The sequence below is a fragment of the Homo sapiens genome, chromosome 7 (genome assembly GCF_000001405.40).
Source record: "Homo sapiens chromosome 7, GRCh38.p14 Primary Assembly".
Lineage (NCBI taxonomy): Eukaryota > Metazoa > Chordata > Mammalia > Primates > Hominidae > Homo > Homo sapiens.
In genome coordinates, this window is record NC_000007.14 from 112923828 (window position 1) to 112941532 (window position 17705).

The 17705-nt window shown below is 36.6% G+C and overlaps 1 protein-coding gene across 1 annotated transcript in view, besides 3 other annotated features; it reads right to left on the reverse strand.

The window, feature by feature from the left end:
* The window catches only part of SAMTOR (S-adenosylmethionine sensor upstream of mTORC1), a 120729-nt gene extending 104681 nt beyond the window's left edge, over positions 1-16048 (reverse strand). Inside the window, exon 1 of the mRNA NM_152556.3 lies at positions 15764-16048. Coding sequence (NP_689769.2) covers positions 15764-15923 — 160 coding nt within the window. The 5' untranslated portion in view covers positions 15924-16048. The remainder of the gene's footprint in view (positions 1-15763) is intronic.
* Positions 15877-15976: a silencer, noted in NCBI's record as "silent region_18545". NCBI's record gives its function as "represses an Ori minimal core promoter by ATAC-STARR-seq in GM12878 lymphoblastoid cells {active_cell/tissue: GM12878}" and the evidence as "EXISTENCE:reporter gene assay evidence [ECO:0000049][PMID:35858748]".
* Positions 16006-16522: an enhancer, noted in NCBI's record as "H3K27ac hESC enhancer chr7:112579888-112580404 (GRCh37/hg19 assembly coordinates)". NCBI's record gives its function as "activates a minimal SCP1, AML or CMV promoter by ChIP-STARR-seq in naive H9 embryonic stem cells {active_cell/tissue: H9 hESC(naive)}" and the evidence as "EXISTENCE:reporter gene assay evidence [ECO:0000049][PMID:30033119]".
* Positions 16177-16516: an enhancer, noted in NCBI's record as "active region_26520". NCBI's record gives its function as "activates an Ori minimal core promoter by ATAC-STARR-seq in GM12878 lymphoblastoid cells {active_cell/tissue: GM12878}" and the evidence as "EXISTENCE:reporter gene assay evidence [ECO:0000049][PMID:35858748]".

A 17705-nucleotide genomic window follows, 5' to 3' on the forward strand; every position in this document is an offset into this window, starting at 1 on the left:
TGTGGCACATATACACCATGGAATACTATGCCGCCATAAAAAATGATGAGTTCATGTCCTTTGTAGGGATATGGATGAAACTGGAAATCATCATTCTCAGTAAACTATCACAAGAACAAAAAACCAAACACCGCATATTCTCACTCATAGGTGGGAATTGAATAATGAGAACACTTGGACACAGGAAGGGGAAGATCACACTCTGGGGTCTGTTGTGGGGTGGCGGGAGGGGGGAGGGATAGCATTAGGAGATATACCTAATGCTAAAGGACGAGTTAATGGGTGCAGCACACCAGCATGGCACATGTATACATATGTAACTAACCTGCACATTGTGCATATGTACCCTAAAACTTAAAGTATAATAATAATAAAAAAAAGAAAAAAAACTATAAATAGAACAGCCAAATGTGGGAGATAATTATACTAAAATTCTTCCTCCACTTAAGGTTATTGAATTCTTACATCTAAGAGGTTTTTTTTAAACAGAAAAGGAATTATAATAGTCCAAATGTAACAACCAATATTTAACTATTCAAATTTGAAAATCTTTCCATTAATCCCAGTTACTGGGTATTTTAGGGTCTACAGTCTAATAAGTACTGAGTTGAAAACCAAACTATTAGCCCTCTAATTTGATCAAGAAAGAAGAGTAAGGATACAAACAAACCCTCTCACACATTGTTAAGATGACTATATATCAGTCTGAGTCTTGGCCTGAATACTGATTTTAAACCTGAGAGAATTATTTTTGAGGGGGCTATGTACTCATATACAAATATTTCCATTAATCACTAACATTTGGGTAGTGACTGGCCTCTCAATTTGTTACATATCAGACTGGCAATAACTATTAACTTAAAAAAAGCAGGGAAAAGTTTTCTAGATTCTCAAATAAAAATTCCTCAGTTTTAGAAATGTTAAGGTATTCGAGTTCAATCATGTTAAATCATAATAAATTATGATTTATTTTAATATAATGGCCAATGTTCTTTTTTTTTTAGCAGTTTGACTTGAATTCCTATTAATGTTTTTTTCCAGCAGTTTCATTTGAAAATGACCTTCTGTGATAAAATAACTATTCATAAAACACAAGTCCAAGGAAAAAGAAAAAAGGGTGAAGTTTGAGGCAGATTCAATGTTCAAGTTGAAGGTATACACAAATGCTCCTGTGAGAATACCACATACCGAAGTTCATTTAAGACATACAGTTTGAGGGCCTGCCTGCTGTATTGGAATATTAATTTAAACACACTACTGCTTTCCTCAGTTTTAGCAACATCTTTCAGATGTAGTTATTTATCAAGTCTCTAAATAGAACTTCAGAAAGTGAGGCGTTTGAAACAATACTTTAATTAATGACACTTTCATAAACCCATGATGGTACATAACACTATTTCTGACTTTATCCATCAAATTTGAAACTAAATCATTCATTAAGGTATTGTATAATTTTAAAGGTGAATCATCAAGTCTAGAAGGCCTTTTTTTGAACTTTTAAGTTTCACTGCCCTATAGAATCTATACATTATAAGTAAATACATAAATGTATTATATGTGCTGTTAATAGGAGTCATTCAAACAAAAGTTCTATGATAACATATACCTGGGAAAAGCTATGCTTAAAACAAACATATTTTCTTTTCCTTTCTGCAAGACTTAGCGTCTAAAGAATGTACAACTTGGTTGGGTGTGGTAGCTCTTGCCTGTAATCCCAGCACTTTGGGAGGCCAAGGCCGGCAGATTACCTGAGGTCAGGAGTTTGAGACCATCCTGACAAACATGGTAAAACCCTGCGTCTACTACAAAATACAAAATTAGCCAGGTGTGGTGGCGCATGCCTGTAATCCCAACTATTCGGGAGGCTGAGGCAGGAGAATCGCTTGAACCTGGGAGGTGGAGGTTGCAGTGAGCTGAGATCATGCCATTGCACTCCAACCTGGGTGACAAGAGCCAAGCTCTGTCTCAAAAAAAAAAAAAAAAAAGTACAACTTAAGACAAAGACCTGGGTCCATGTAGTTTAATTGGGTGAGAATCCTAGGAAACAGGAGTAAGGAAGTAGAGAGAAAGATGGGAAGGAGAAAAAACTAATACAAGGTTGCTTTACTGAGGTTGCTGCTGTTGGCAAACTGAAAAGCATACCGAATGTGTCCAGAATTGTGCACCTAAAGAATGGGAGGCCACGGCATTTATCTCTAAGTTCTTATCCCCATTAACTGAGAATTATTAACAATCTGCACTGCTAGTCTGCACTTAGCCACTGAATAAGGGGACAATCTCAGTGGGCTCCAGCAGTGTGGGAGAAAGGCAGAACACAAAAAAGCAGCACTCATTTAAAGTGGGTCTATGTAAGGGCTAGTGAATCTGAGCTCAAAGTGTCTATCTACCATGGGTGAGGACAAAGGGTGTGCTATGTGAGGCAACACAGGCATCTGTTAGAAATTCTTAGAGTCCTTGCCATGTCACTATATACTTTGAAACTCAATTTACTCTATAATTATTCTACTAGCTATAAGATGCAAAGAACTGAAAATACACAGAAACCTACTACCCTACAACTTTTTAGAAGACCTCTAGTTTTTCATACTCAACAAAATTCTCTGAAATACCACCTAATGAAATTTTATGGCTATCTACCTCACTGAAGTCCTAAGGAAGAATTCAAACTTTGTAGGCTAATGCAACTCAGATTAACCAAACAACTTCAATTTAACGATTTCATTAACATTGAGGAGTCTGCAGACTCTCACAAAGTGTGTTGACACTGAAAATTGATGTGATTCATAAAGTGAAGTATACTTAAATATATAACTGACAGTAGAAGATGCACCTGTATATATTTTTCCTTCTTTCAACAGATTTTCTTTTAAAAATACTCCATATTAAATGCTACAGAAAATAAAGTTAATGAGCAGGCATTGGTATCAAAAAAAGGGGAGAAGACATGTAAAATGTGGAAATGCTATAAAAGAGATATGAACCTGACGGGTTCCCTATATCCTATGCAAGGCATCCTGGACCCAAAACTTTTATTTCATATATTTATAAAATAAAAATGTTTCAAACTCTGACTACTGTGTATACATTTTGTTAAAAGTCTGGTGGTTATAAAATTGAACAAAAAACATAGCTGGCCTTTAGTTATGAGAAAATTCCACTTCCCAAAATACCTCTGAAAGCTTAAGGTAATTTTAAAAATAAATGAAATTATTAAAAAGGAATGAGAAAAAGTATTTTCATAATAGCCCATTTTTTGTTTTTATAGTATTTAAAATAATGGTATTTAAATTTTGAGCAAAGTTTTTCAAAGTAATCTATGATTCAGGTTCTAAAATCCAAAAAAAGTTAGGGTTCACCAGTGCCCAGTATAATATTTAAAACTCCTCTACCAACTCAAACTGCATATACAAACAATATATTAAAACTCAATTTTAAGGATTTTTTTATCACTTAGTTATTAGGTCAACTAATAATTAAAAGATATACTATTTAAAAGGACAACATTTTTTCATTATTAAAAGGTAAATCAGGAGCTAGAACTTCTTGAAGTTTGCATGAAAGGTCTAGTCAACACAGTATAAGAAACATTTAGGTCTTCAAGTTCTATCAGAACTCTCAATGAATTAATAATTAGCCTTATGATTTATTTTAATATAATGGCATCTGTGAATGACTCAAAAGTGTTGTAATTAATAACCCATTTTCTTACCAATTTCTTATAGGCATTCTAGAAAAAATACATGTGTCTTAAAGTAAAAGTGAGACAGAGAGAAAGAGAGAGAGAAAGAGACAGGTACAAGGGGAAAGGGAGGCGTGGAGAACAAAATCTGCAATGGGTACACACGTTTTACTTTGACCAACTACAGAGAATTCACAAATTATTTTTAGAAAGCACAATTCAAAAATATATGCTCTACAGCTTAAATTGTCTTACAAAATTCTAGAACAAAGTTCACATTAACATGACTTCTATTTAGTTATCCCATAACATTTAAATTTTTCAAACACCCATTTTAAAAAACAAATTCGTAATTTTAAACATGAGTGATGCCAACTTAAAGTTGCCAAACCAAGTTCAATATGATAATCAATGAACCAAATTATTTTGAATCTTATATCAAGATAATACCATAACTATTGCATTGACTAAACTCACCTTCAAAAACACTATGTCACAACTAAAAAATAAATTAGGAGCTACTAATAAAAGGACAATGACAACTAGGAAAGAATAGCACATTCATTAATTTAAAAAGAGTTCCATTTTTAATAACTTTGTGATTAAGACATTATTACAATGCAACTGCCTTTGTAAAAAAACAAGTACAAGGAAATGGGTTTAAAAGTATTTTTGCTCTACATAACATCCAGAAGCGCAGCTCTAAAACAGTTCCAAATTAAAGTGAACCAATGGAATCCCTAAATTATTTATTTAGAGTTGATATTATTCTTTCTTTATGAATTAACCTCTCTCCTGCCATCTGGTACAGCATTTTTTTTCCTTCAAAATGTAACTGAATTCATATTTTCTTCAAGAGGGTTTATCTGCCTCCCACTTTATCATCTTACACTTCCCTCATCTGCCATCCTTACGGTACTTTGTCATTCATTTATACATACTGTCTATTAAAACCAGGTGTGATTTTCCCAATAGAAAGTATAAATGGAAAAGCAAAGACTACTTTTGATTTACAATTTGTATAAATTAGAGAAGTTAATTAGGGTGCTCAGTCAGTGGAGGACAAAATATTTAAATTTTCATCATGCTCAAAAAATAAACATGAAAAGTATAAACAAATTAAATTAGTTGCTAAGATAAAATTCAAACTACAGAGGATGGCTTTCAATAAATAGCAGTCACTCAAAAGCAGAATTTAAATTTTTCACAATAGTTACTGTTTTCAAAGTAAGAGTTCCAAGGTCAGAAAAGCAATAATTTCAATGTCATTTTTCTAGAGACCATTGTTTTAAGCTTATTAAAAAGGCTTTTTCATTTTGTGTTATTGTCAAAAGAAAACCTTGCAGCTGACAGTCCAGTCATATCCATTAAGTTCTTTAATAGCAGTACACAGATCTTTTCGAAAAATTTATTAGCTCAAGGAGAAATGAACAGTAACACCACCAAATAGATAAAGAATTACTTATATGTGAAAAAAATGAATAGGTGGTGCTAAGGTTCATGCATTTTTACATGCCAGGACCACTTGATTTTTATATACTTGATGTGTATAAAAATAATATTTTTTCTCAATAACTCTATCCTAATTCTCCTTTTTAAAACATACAAAGCACAGAAAATAAGTTAGCAAGTATATATGTGATGCCATTTTAAGATAAAAATATATTTACAAACCATATACCTGATAAGGGGTTAATATCCAAAAGATATATAAAAAAAACCTCAAACTGAATAGCAAAAAAACAAATAATCTGACTAAAAAATGGGCAATGACCTGAATAGATATTTTTCCAAAGACAACACAAAAAATGGCCAATGGGTATATAGAAGGGTGCTCAACAAAACTAATCATCAGGAAAATGCAAATTAAAACCACAATAAGATACTACCTCCCATCTGTTAGGATGGCTATTATCAAAAAGACCAGAGATAACAAGCATTGGTGAGGATGTGAAGAAAAGTGAATCCTGTATACTTATGTTGGGTATGTAAATTAGTACAGCCAAAACAGTATGGAGGTTCCTAAAAAAATTAAAAATAAAACTACTACATGATTCAGCAATCCCACTATGGGTATTTATCCAAAGGAAATGAAATCAGTATGTCAAAGAGATATCTGCAATCCTATAATCATTGCAGCATTACTCACAATAGCTAAGAAACGAAAATAAATGGAGGTGAATCTATAGTGAAAAGACATGTGAGACTGAGAGTATAGAGAGAGACCGACTGCAAAGAAGTATGAGAAAATTTTGGCAGTGATGAAAATGTTCTACGCCTTATTGTGGTAATGGTTTTACAGAGATGCATGCATTGTCAAAACTTACGGAATTATATACTTTAAAAAGACACAATTTACTGTACATGAATCATATCTCAATAAATTTAATTTTTAAAAATGATGTGCCACAAGCATGGTATATGTTACAAAATTAAGATTATATTTCATTAAATTTGAGGGCCATCAAATTCTCTAAAAAAGCAAAAAAATACATGAGTATCAAAAGTCTTAAACTTTTAGAAATTCAGAACAATTTATTTGATTCTGACTTAGGCATATTGCCAAATACGGGCCCTAAGATGCCTTATCTGTAGATGACAAGACTACCAAATTCAAGTTCAAAGTACCTTTAATGGTCATTTTCTCTAACACAAGGTAAGTAAAGAAACTCATGACTAAGTGCAAACAAGTTCAGCTACCATTTCAAGGCATTAAAACAAAATGTTCAGAATTCAGATTGTCTTACATAGTTAAGCCATACAACGACCAGTCTTCTCAGCTCTTGAGCACCTGATACAGTGACACATCTAAAAGTGGGATAAAAAACATCCAAGGTGTTTGGTAATTAAGAGCCAAAAAGTAACCAGAAAACAAAAAGTTTGAAAACCTGCATCTTATAGCCAACATGTTATGAATAGTCATTTCTCTAATGTGGGAAGAAAACACCACCAATATTCTGACATGCTAAAAAGGTTGGACTTTTCATATAAAAACTTAGAAACACAAACAGCAAAAGGGGCAAAAAAAAAAAAAAGAAGAAAAAGAAAAAGTCATTTTAATACTGAGAAGACTACAGAACAGTCTAGGTAAAAATTCCAGGAGCCATCCAGTCTTTAATGTCATAGTCCTTAAATGCATTGAAGCAGTATAGCTACAGATAAAAGAGCTGTTATTTTTAAATTTCTGTATTTTACAAGCTTAGTGTGTTTCCTATATGCCAAATGTTGTTTTAAGTGCTTTTCAAATATTAACTCATTTAATTATAATACCAATCCATTGAGGCAGATATTTTACTTTATAGATGAGGAAACTGAAGTAGAGCGATTAAGTAAACTTTTCCAAGGTTACACAACAAACCTGGTAGTCAAAAGCTAAAGTCATGCTCCTAACCACAAACTTTGCTTCTCTTCATAAGTTTTTAATTCATGAACTTTCATGGATATGAGCAAAGCTTTGCAACAGAGGAAAGTACACAGACTCTACTAACCACAAACAAATGGTCTTTTGTCAGTCAAATGCAGTTATTTAGTCTCTGCAACTGCATTATTTGTTAGATTTCTGGCAGTGGTTCTCAACTCTGGCTGCCAATTCTGGCTGCACATTGGAATCACCCAGAAGTTTCATTTAACTGGTCTGGAGTGGCAACTGGTCATTTAGTTTAACACTCCCCGGATGAATCCAACGTGTAGCTATGGCTTAAAACCAATGGTGTATAGCAAGGTTGTGAGCTTAAAAGCCTGGCAAAATAATATAGAGAGCAGGGGGTTGGGACAACCTTAAGAGTCCAATTTAATTAACAAAAAAAAAAACACAACAAAACAAATCAATGCATGGATTAAACTTAATATCTACAAACACTGGCTCACGGTGTATCTTCTGTTCTTGGAACAGCCTTTTATTATAAACATATCAACGATAAAAATACTTACTCCAAAATGCAAGTCTGTGAACACATCCTATAAGGCAGATGGAAAGAAATCAAGAAAAATCATAACCAATGTCACCAACATGTTATTCCCTTGTGAAAGTGAACTTCACAGGTGGGTCTATGACCACACAGAGCACTTGCTTAGTTTAATTTTCAACTTTCAAACAAAAGGATTTATGAACAGCCTTTTGGAACTTAATTTTCATATGTTCAATTAAAAAGTCTTACCCTAATTTCTATATAAATGGAAATGGATACTCACATGCTGCTCTAAATGCATGAAGATTAACCACCTATTCTAAAATAAACACAGCAATGGGTATTAGTGTATCTACACTTAAAGCACAATAGGTCAGTATAGTTTAGTGGTTGTCAGATGTTAGATTTTGTAACTAGTATAAATTTCACTTCAAATTTAAGAGACTGATATATTGGGGTTGAAAAATTTTTATCTGTAAATATAAACAAATACACAAAACTATTACTTTTTTTTTTTTTTTCTTTTTTCGGGATGGAGTCTCGTTCTGTCACCCAGGCTGGAGTGCAGTGGTGCAATCTCGGCTCACTGCAACCTCCGCCATCCAGGTTCAAGTGATTTTCCTACCTCAGCCTCACAAGTAGCTGGGACTACAGGCACATGCCACCACACCCGGCTAATTTTTTGTATTTTTAGTAGAGACAGGGTTTCACCAAGTTAACCAGGATGGTCTCTATCTCTTGACCTCGTGATCCACCCGCCTCGGCCTCCCAAAGTGCTGGGATTACAGGCATGAGCCACCGTACCCAGCTCACTATTACCATTTTTATTACCAACATACAGAGAGACATACATTATACCCACTACAACATCCTTATGAGAACAAATAAAGATACCATAATGAGTGTAAGGATATATTTACCATTATATTTATAGAAAAATAGAATGCTATTCAGAATAACTTGGACCATTTAAAAAAGGGTAAAATTAATCTAATATACTCAATTTAAGAAGACATGAGCATAAATTAGAAAACATGGGTATCCACAAGTTAAAATTTTAAAGTTATGAATATAAAAAGATAAAACTCAACTATCTGGAAATATTTACATTAGCTTCTTCTGTGCGTGTGCCTTAAATCTACAAGGCCTGGTGCTATGTACTAAGGCTACAGAGATAAAAGGCAGAGTTTTACTCAAGAAACTAAGTTTAGTAGATAAAACAGACAAATGAACTGGTAAGTTATAAATACCATAAAGGTAGGCACAATCATGCTATGGAAGCACAAGGTAAGAGGGGCACTTAGGTAGGGGCACTTACTTATGTAGGATTCTGTGCTAGGTGCTGTACACAACTGTGTTTGTGGGGATGGGGTTTGTGATGATTAATAAAAACCCAGATCTTTGTTTCAAGAGTTTACATTACAATAAACTGGCCTAAAAGACCAACCACGAAGAGGTCATTTCAAAAGAGGCCTGAAGATCGGACTCTAAACCATAATCCTTAATAATCTAGATTTAAAGTTGTTAAAAACATTATGCTGCTAAACTTCCAGTACAACAGTACTTCTGATTTAAAGAGGAACATTTTAGAAAATTTTACTTGAATTGGTGGGGGAAGGAAGAGGGGCAGGGATAATGCCCAGGAGCCATCCAATCCTTAATGCTACCCTGAAGACATAAAGACAGAATAGCTACGGTTAACATCTCTATTATTTTTGTTACTTAAGGAGGGTAGGGATCCTGCTGCTTTTGCTAATTAGCAAGGACTAGTAAAAACAGGAGCTCCAAAAGTACTGTATGATAAAACAGCAAAGTCTCCACTTAATCGTCAAATGTGAACAATGTATGAGATTGCTCTAGGAAATTAACAAAAATACTGAAGAAGATATGATTATAATAGGAACTATGTGACAAATGTGCCTGACTTATTTAGACACTATAGAAATGGCTACCAAAAGATAGAAAACTAATATAAAAATGTGTCAAAACTATCAATGAAGAAATTTAAAGACAACTTCTTAAAGTGTGCCTTAAAAACAAGTAGCTCCTTACACAGTGGTGCAGCGAGACTACCTATTATTGAAAAATCATTAACTCATTCAGTTATCTCAACTGATGTTTCACTCTGTATACTGTATTTTTATGACAGAAATAAATATTTCATAGGCACATATGAGGAAGGAATGAATGTGAAAAACAATTTGAACTCCCAGGACGAGCACATCCTTTAGTAAAGTACCCTGCTTTTCTTTGCAACAGAAAAATCTTAGTTCAATGTTTTCTCAAAAAGTGTTCCAATGATCACCTGAATTAGAATCACATGAGGGACATTAAATATGCAGATTCCTGGGCCCCAAATCTCAGATCCACCAAATTGCTTTCTGGGGACCTAAGAATCAGCATTTTAAAAAGTTCACTGGAAGATTCTGGAGCCAACTAACGTTTTAAGAACCATGGCCTTAGACGCTTTAAAGCTGCAAACATGATATATACTTATTAAAGAAAACAAATGCACCAAAACCAACTGAAAATACTGATTTGTTTGATTTTGAAAGACTGGGACTCTTTGAAAATCAAAGCAAATCAATATTTTCTTAAGAAATATTATAGTAAACATAATTTTACGTTTTCTTGAGGACTTTAGGCTGTCACTATGAACACCTTCACTCTACTGTAAATGAAGCATAAATGGCGGCAGATACAGTTCTACTACTGTGTTGGTACCCAGCACAGCAGACACCCGATCCCTGGGAGTACTCCCTGTGTTCTGTGATGGTTCCACTTTTCTTCTTCCAAACTCTAACTACTGGTGTGTTCCAAGGATCTGTCCTCAGTTCTATATTACAACCCCACTGTGCAGTTTACTTGCCTCAAAGATTCAGCCTCCACAGAGGGCTTCCAAATCCTAAACTTCCAAAGGATAGATTGCAAACTAAATCATTACCATTATCCCTATAACAAGCCAATCTGCCTGACTACCCTGTTCCTCTTGCCTCCAACTCCTACCATTTCCAAAGTGTATGCTAATAGCTATCTACATTTTCCCGGGAAAGAAATATTGGCATCATCTTTGACCCTTCTTTATTTTCACTGAAACTGCCTATTCTGATCTTCAAAGTCTGTCTTCTTCTATTTTCATCATCACTACTGTTATTTAAGCTATTATTAACTTTAGATCAGGTTAGTATAAAAGCCTCCTTTCTCCTAGATTCCTCCTACTACAATAGCTGTGTTTCTGAACCTCTTTGTCCACTGTGTACTCTGGGAGCTTTTATATATACAGATGTCTGTGTTCCACAAAGTTCCAAAGATTATACTGATGTGGAACCAAGGCTAAGAACCGCTATGTTAGTGGGTTTATTTTCCATTAAACAATCAAGGAATCTGCAACAATGCTTTTGGTTTCTAGTGTATCTTTTCAACTGCAAAAAGCCCCTAAAACGATACCTTGTCACAAAGAACACTAATAATAACAAAATCAAATAGCTAAACACTAATGTACATTGTATACCTACATGCCCTTCATTGAACTGACTATATAAATGGTCCCTTTATCTTTTACTATTACTGATTACTGAACTCTTTTCATTATTTTTCTTCTGTTGGGAATGGCAGTTCAAACTCTCCTAGTGCAAACTTAACAGGACCTTCTGTGACAACCTTCACCTTATTTATTTCAATGATCAGGCAAATATTCTATCACAAAAAGCTTTCTGATTCTATATCAGAATAAGTATAAGAAGAACACAAAAAGAAAACAGCAAAACCTCACTTGAGAAAAGAATCTGTTCAAAGTTTCTTAAGGTCTTGGACTTGGTCAAAATTTTAAAGCAGCTGTGTTTAAAGCCCACTGAGGAAAAAAAATAAGAAAAGTTCAATTAAAAGGAGTCTCATTCTAATTTTTAAAACAACTTCAAAACTTTGTTTCTGGAAAAACACCAACATCACATTCATTCTCTTATTTTTAGCCTTTTTGGTTTAAAATTATTTTAATACAAAAGTTTTTCCCCTTCCCCCACAATTCTCATTTTAAGTGTTTGCTGAAGAATAGTCAATCACAAATATATTTTTCAGCTTATCCTACACTGCCATGCTAATTCACCTGTTAAGATCACCCCCTAATTCCATGACTTTAAGAATACCTCTTTTAACAGTTTAGTACATACTTTTACTTTTTTTTGTGATTGATTTATAAGCTGCAGGTGTTTATGTGATAAACTGTTTTAAATCTGTTTGGTATGCAGAACAAGTAAATTCAGGGATTGAATAATTTGATAAAATGTCCCAAAGATATTCATAAGATAGGTTAAAAAAATAAAAACGAAATGGAATGAAAAGTGTACTTTTACTCCTGACAACTGCAGCCTTTTACATTTTCTTGGAATTTTTACATAAACGCTTTAAGTTTAGAAAGAGAAATGCCAGGCATAAAAGCAATCATTACAGGAATGGGTTCATGTGAATACGATTATGGAAAAAAAAAATCATACAAAGACAACCAAAAACACACATGGCTCTACTTCAGTTCTTGATTTGATACATATTTGTCAGGCTCATCTAATTAAATAATGAAGTCCCTGTTTGAAAAGCGAAACTAGTTTTTTTAATTAAAAAGCTGTCTATAACTCTTATACATTTAAAATATTTTTGGTTTACATGGAGGTCAAATTTTAAAAATTATGTATGCAAAGACAGAAAACACCTATATGTGCAAGCATATTTCCATTTATAAATATGGATCTATTCACTAGATAGTGAAAAACCTATCTTATGAATATCTTATGAATATAACCTCACTTTAAAAGACTGTCTCTTAACTATCAATGGCAGACACCAGAAATACCCCTTCGCATCACCACTGCTAGGCATCTCCCTACCATTTCTTTTTAGTAACTGCTTCAGATACGAGTGCTGCCTGGAACACACCTTTATCTCCAGTTCTCACTTTACCTTTAGACAAATTGGCACAGCATCTCTTAAGTGGTGAAACAAGGCAGGCCATAAACTGGGGAAGGAAAAAGTGGTAAACGAAAAGAGTGCATTAAGCCTACCTGCTACTCTTTACAACCCTGTTCACCCTTCCCCACCCCAAGCCTGTTCATCACCATCAACTAGCATCAGTTGGGCAAATGGTTGGAGAAGAGTGGAAAAAAATCTTTTCTTATCACAGCAAAAAAGAACAACACAACTTATTTTCATTGTTTTTCCTGTTTTATTTTCAATTCCACTAATAGAGATAAGGGAAAAGAAGGCTCTGTTCTCCAACCTCCCAGTCACTATCTATCCTGTCCTTAATATTCAATGGCTGTTTTGCCTCCTTATTCTACCCTAACTTATTTCCTTCCCTGCCATCTCTCCCCAAAAAACCCTCACCTTGTATAGCCCCAACTCAGCTAATCATACCTATCCTATGGATCATCCATTCCCATCAATTTATAACTTTTCACCTAATGGAAATTCTAGGGCCACTTCCTGCTTCTCATTTTCCCTCCTATTCTAACATTTGGAGTCACTAATATTAGGTTTGGAGTTGGGGGTGGGGAACCTATATTATTCCCATAAAATATGTATAGTATTAATAATGAACTACCAAAGCATCAAGAAAGTTATTTTAATATTTTTAGGACTCCGCTCACTTATCTGTAAAATGAAGAAGCTATTAGATCACCACTCTAATATCTGGCTGACAATTTCCAGTTCCTAATAATAGGGATCTTAAACTATAGATCTGAGGTAGAATACAGGAATTGTCTAAGAGGCACCCAGTTGAATCTGCTGATCAGCCATGTTTGGGAATCACTGCTAAATGCTAAGAGGTTCCTTCTAGTCTAAAACTCCAAGATCCTAAGCTGGAATTTTCACTGCATTTGCTGGTAGAAGAATTGTGATAAAAGGGGTACAGTTTCCATAGTTATTGGTGCTATAGTTCAGGTATGTTATTGATTCAATGGGCCTTTGCAGACTGATCTAGCACTTAAGCAATCTTCAGATTACAATAACAGCTGACTTGCAAATGAACTTGTAAAATATGTTTACAGACTGGGGACCATCAGCACAATACTAAGTCCTCAAAGTAAAACACTAAAAATTATTTCCTTAGTATTATTATGTGCACAGAGTTTTTCACAGATGACTTTTTTACTACTAATATTTAGCCTATATGTCAGAAATAAAGGTAGAAGGAGCATGCTCATTAGGATCACTTATTCTGCTAATTCACTGATGGGGCTTTGTATATCATTCAAGCAAAGCCTAGAGAAGTCTAGATCACCGGTGAAATTCAGGGTATTAAAGCGCCTAAAGAATAGTCTCATTCAAATGTTTAAACTGCCAGGACTTTAACTCCCCAGAAGCATACTAGATCATTCACTTATGAACTCCATGTATCTATTCTAGATCTGGTAACTTCCGATTCTCATAAACAAGAGTTCCTGTGGTTAATACTCAGGCTTAAAACATGGTTAAACATGTGGGAACTAAGCACATATAAACAGCACTTGAAGAGATGCCACATTAGTGTGTTAATTTGAGTGGAACCTATTCATTTATGAATAAATGAATAATGAAATTATTAAAAGGTAAAAATAGAAATGGAATTCTATGCTAGTCATTTTTCTCTTTAGAAAGATGCACTTAAATTTGTACAAAATAGCAGGATAAATTGCAGGAAAATGTGTCCATTTATTTCCTAATCTCTCCAAATAACATAAAATCTACAGTGAATTCCATTATGTAAGAGCATTCTTTGAATATCAAGAATGATGCAGTTGTTGCTATGGTAACTACTCATTTTATTGACTAAATTGTGGGTTTGGGTAGCATTCTTTCAAAAAACATATTTTACCATCCTAAGTAGGTCTGATAAGACTCTTTCTATTGCTATCTGTTAAACAATAACTACAAGCCCCATTTGGGGATGATTAAACAGCCTCTATTAAAAGCTAAGCTTGATTTGCTAAGGAAAGAAACCTTTAAAGTTTGAAAAATGAAACATATCAACTACATTCAAAAGAACAAAGGATACTTAGTTTTAACTTTCTAGAGTAGTTGAAACGTGTGTATAAATCAACAGTAACATGATCTTACCTGTCTGTATTCCTTCACTGCCATAATTTTCCTTCTAATCCTAAATTATTAACTAAGTATAGGACTAACACCAGAAGGCTGCTGACTTTTCAGTTTGCAATTAAGCTAAAATGAGAACCAGTGGAAAGCTTTCCTCATTTCGATACTCAGGAGAAGTCTCTCTCCCAAGCCTATGAAAACAGAATTTTCACTGTCAAAATCTTATAAAACAGCTGTGTACAAAAGCCTATATTTAAAGATATCAAGGATAACTGTAGACTCCAACTATAAACACTCTTCAGGCACAGGCAAAAGCCACTAAGGCTTCTTCCCCTATGAGCTTCCACAGAGGGGGTTCTCACCGGAACCCCATCCATGGAAGCCGAGGGTGGGCTTTATCGGCAGGTGTCTTTAGGAGGCTTCCAATACAAACGGTATTTTCAGAACCTGCCCAGATCTCTTCCTCATCGCCTAAATAAACAGTTAAGACCAAGTATTTAAGAAATGGGAGTGGGGGCCACGAGTGTAGCCCGCCCCCTTTTAACAATGTGAAGTCCAGTCAGCTAAAAGGCCTGCTGGCTTCCCAGCCCTGGAAGCCAATGCGAGGAAGGCTCGGCATGGTTGTAGGAATGAAGTACTAGGAAGGGGGTCTGATAAGGAAGCAAATGGTACAGCCGGTAGGTCAAGCGTAAAGGAGGGACAACTCAGGTTTCTTTTCGTCTTTTACAAATGGATTTTACCTGTCTTGTTTTACCTCGGCGTCTCTTGCAAAAAGCGACCCCCACCTCCTCTGTGAGCGTGTATGTGTTTGTGTGTGCCGAGACAACAACCTCAGCACCCCGGCTGGGGACAGGGGCTTGGAGGGGGTGGGGACTCAATTCCTTTACAGGCCTAGAACTCTCCCGAAGGGCCCTCAAAGAAAAGGGGGCGGGGAGGAGCGCGTCTGATGCCGACTAGGGGGCTCAGACCAGGCCCGGGAGAGCAGCAGCGGCTGGGGGGACGTGCAGATCCTTTACATTTTAATGGTGGCCTCTTTGGAGGAGGGAAGAGGTGACAAGCGGTTGGGGGTGATGAGGCCTCCCCTTCCTCCCTCACTCAGCGCGCTGTTTACCTTCTCGGTACTTCTTGCGGAGCCGCCGGTGGACGCTCTTCACCACACCGGAGAGCTTCTCCTGCTCCAGTTTCCGCTCCTGCTCCCGGGGCGGCGGAGTGTTCGGGGACCCGGCCCTCTGCGCACGAGCAGTATTTCGGCCGCCGGCCCCTGGCTCCATATCGCAGCCGCCGCCGCCGCCGCCGCCCCTCAGGCCCCCGCAGACGCTCCCCAGATGGAGGAGGTGGGGTAGGAGGAGGGAGCTGCGGAGGCAGCAGCCAGAGGAGGCAGAGGAACCGGAGCGACAGCCTTGGAGGTGGACCCTCACCCAAAAGTGCAAACTGATTGGTGGATTTTGAGGGCTGGGCGGAAACGGAAAAGGCTAAGGGCCAATGGGCAGAAAGCGCCGGCGGCGAACCCGGTTGTTTGGGAAGGCGAGCAGCTGGAGGAGGCGGAGCTTGCGGGGATAGGGAGGCTGAGGCAGTGGGAGCTCCAGGCCTGGGTGCTCATCTCTTCCCCACCCTCCCCGGATTCTGTGCGCAGGCGCTGTGGCTCGGCCTCGGGAGACGAGCTGTGAGCAACGCGCTTGCGCGTCTCAGTTTGCTTAGTTTGGGCTTTTTTACAGCTCGGCTTTCTGATGTCTTCCATCATTTTCATCCCCTACACTTTATAATCTGTTGCGATGCGGCCAGGGTGCTCTGCTTGAACCTCCGCTGCACCTTGTCACATGTAGGTTCCCTTTAGTTACTTGCGCTTTGAGATGACGTTACACTTCAGGGACCTCAAGCACACAAGCATTCTAAGGCTCAAGGAGAGGTCTGGCTACCAAATGCTAATTTAATTCTCAGGTCGACAATGGTTTATGCCTGCAGTACTACTGCTGGGCAAAGGACATAGAAAATGCGAAAAGGAGAGGGCCAAGAAAAGCAACAGGAGATGCAGGAGGACAATAAGGAACGATGGAAAACTCACAGCAGATGCCCTCAAGAACTTTTGTAGTGACCACGGTGTTAATAAGCAGCCTTCCCTGATCTTATTCGCATCAGCACTCTGAGCTTTTATGGTCAGCTCAGGTGACCTCCTGTCCTTTAATTTGGAGAGTTAGTCTATGCGGAGTGTATCTAAGTGGGTTTGGTAACCTGTTCACCCTCCTCCACTTCTTTTCCATCTCTTGGGGAACGCGATTGTTGACTTCTGTCCCAGAAAGGTGGAACACTGCTCTCTGGAGAGAGGTAGACTGCATTGGCTCCTGAAGTGGTACTGAGGCTGCTGGAGTGTCAGAGATTGAATAGACTGAGAGCCCCTAATGAGTTGTGTTGGATTGTGTACCACTTCCCCATTGCAGGTGTTGGTTACGTGACAGTCTATGGAAATGATTGCAATGGTAACATTTTGATAATGATTTTCTAACTACGAATAAAGCTTGCATTATGTAACTGTTTTATATGCTACCTTCTTTATATTGAATACGCTGAAGAGCAAAGAATTATACACACTGTCTAGGACACAGGAGAAGCGGGAGGTGAAGGGAGATTGATGGAATTTAAAGGCGGAAGATGTGTCCCTACAGCACAGTGAAGAGACAGATCAAACACAAAGACAAGGACATATAAACTTCAAAAGAACTCCTTATAATTATGAAGAGAAGTTAAGCGGAAGTGCCTAATAAATTGAAAATATGGTGGTCTTATTTGGGGGAATTTCATTTGGGAAGAAAGGGGAGCTTGAATTACATGTCTCTTTTGGCTCTTTCCATATTTTAATACATATGGAAGGCAAATAATGGTGCAGATATTCGAAAGATACAATGATAGTAAAAAGAGCATTAAATTTCACTTGTGCTGAACTGTAGTTTTATTTTTTAAAAAAGAACTTTTCAGCATAATACTAGCAAATGAACTTTTAAGGCCTCTTAACTGAAGATGTTCACTGAAGGAAATTTGGAAAATACAGAAAAGAGTAA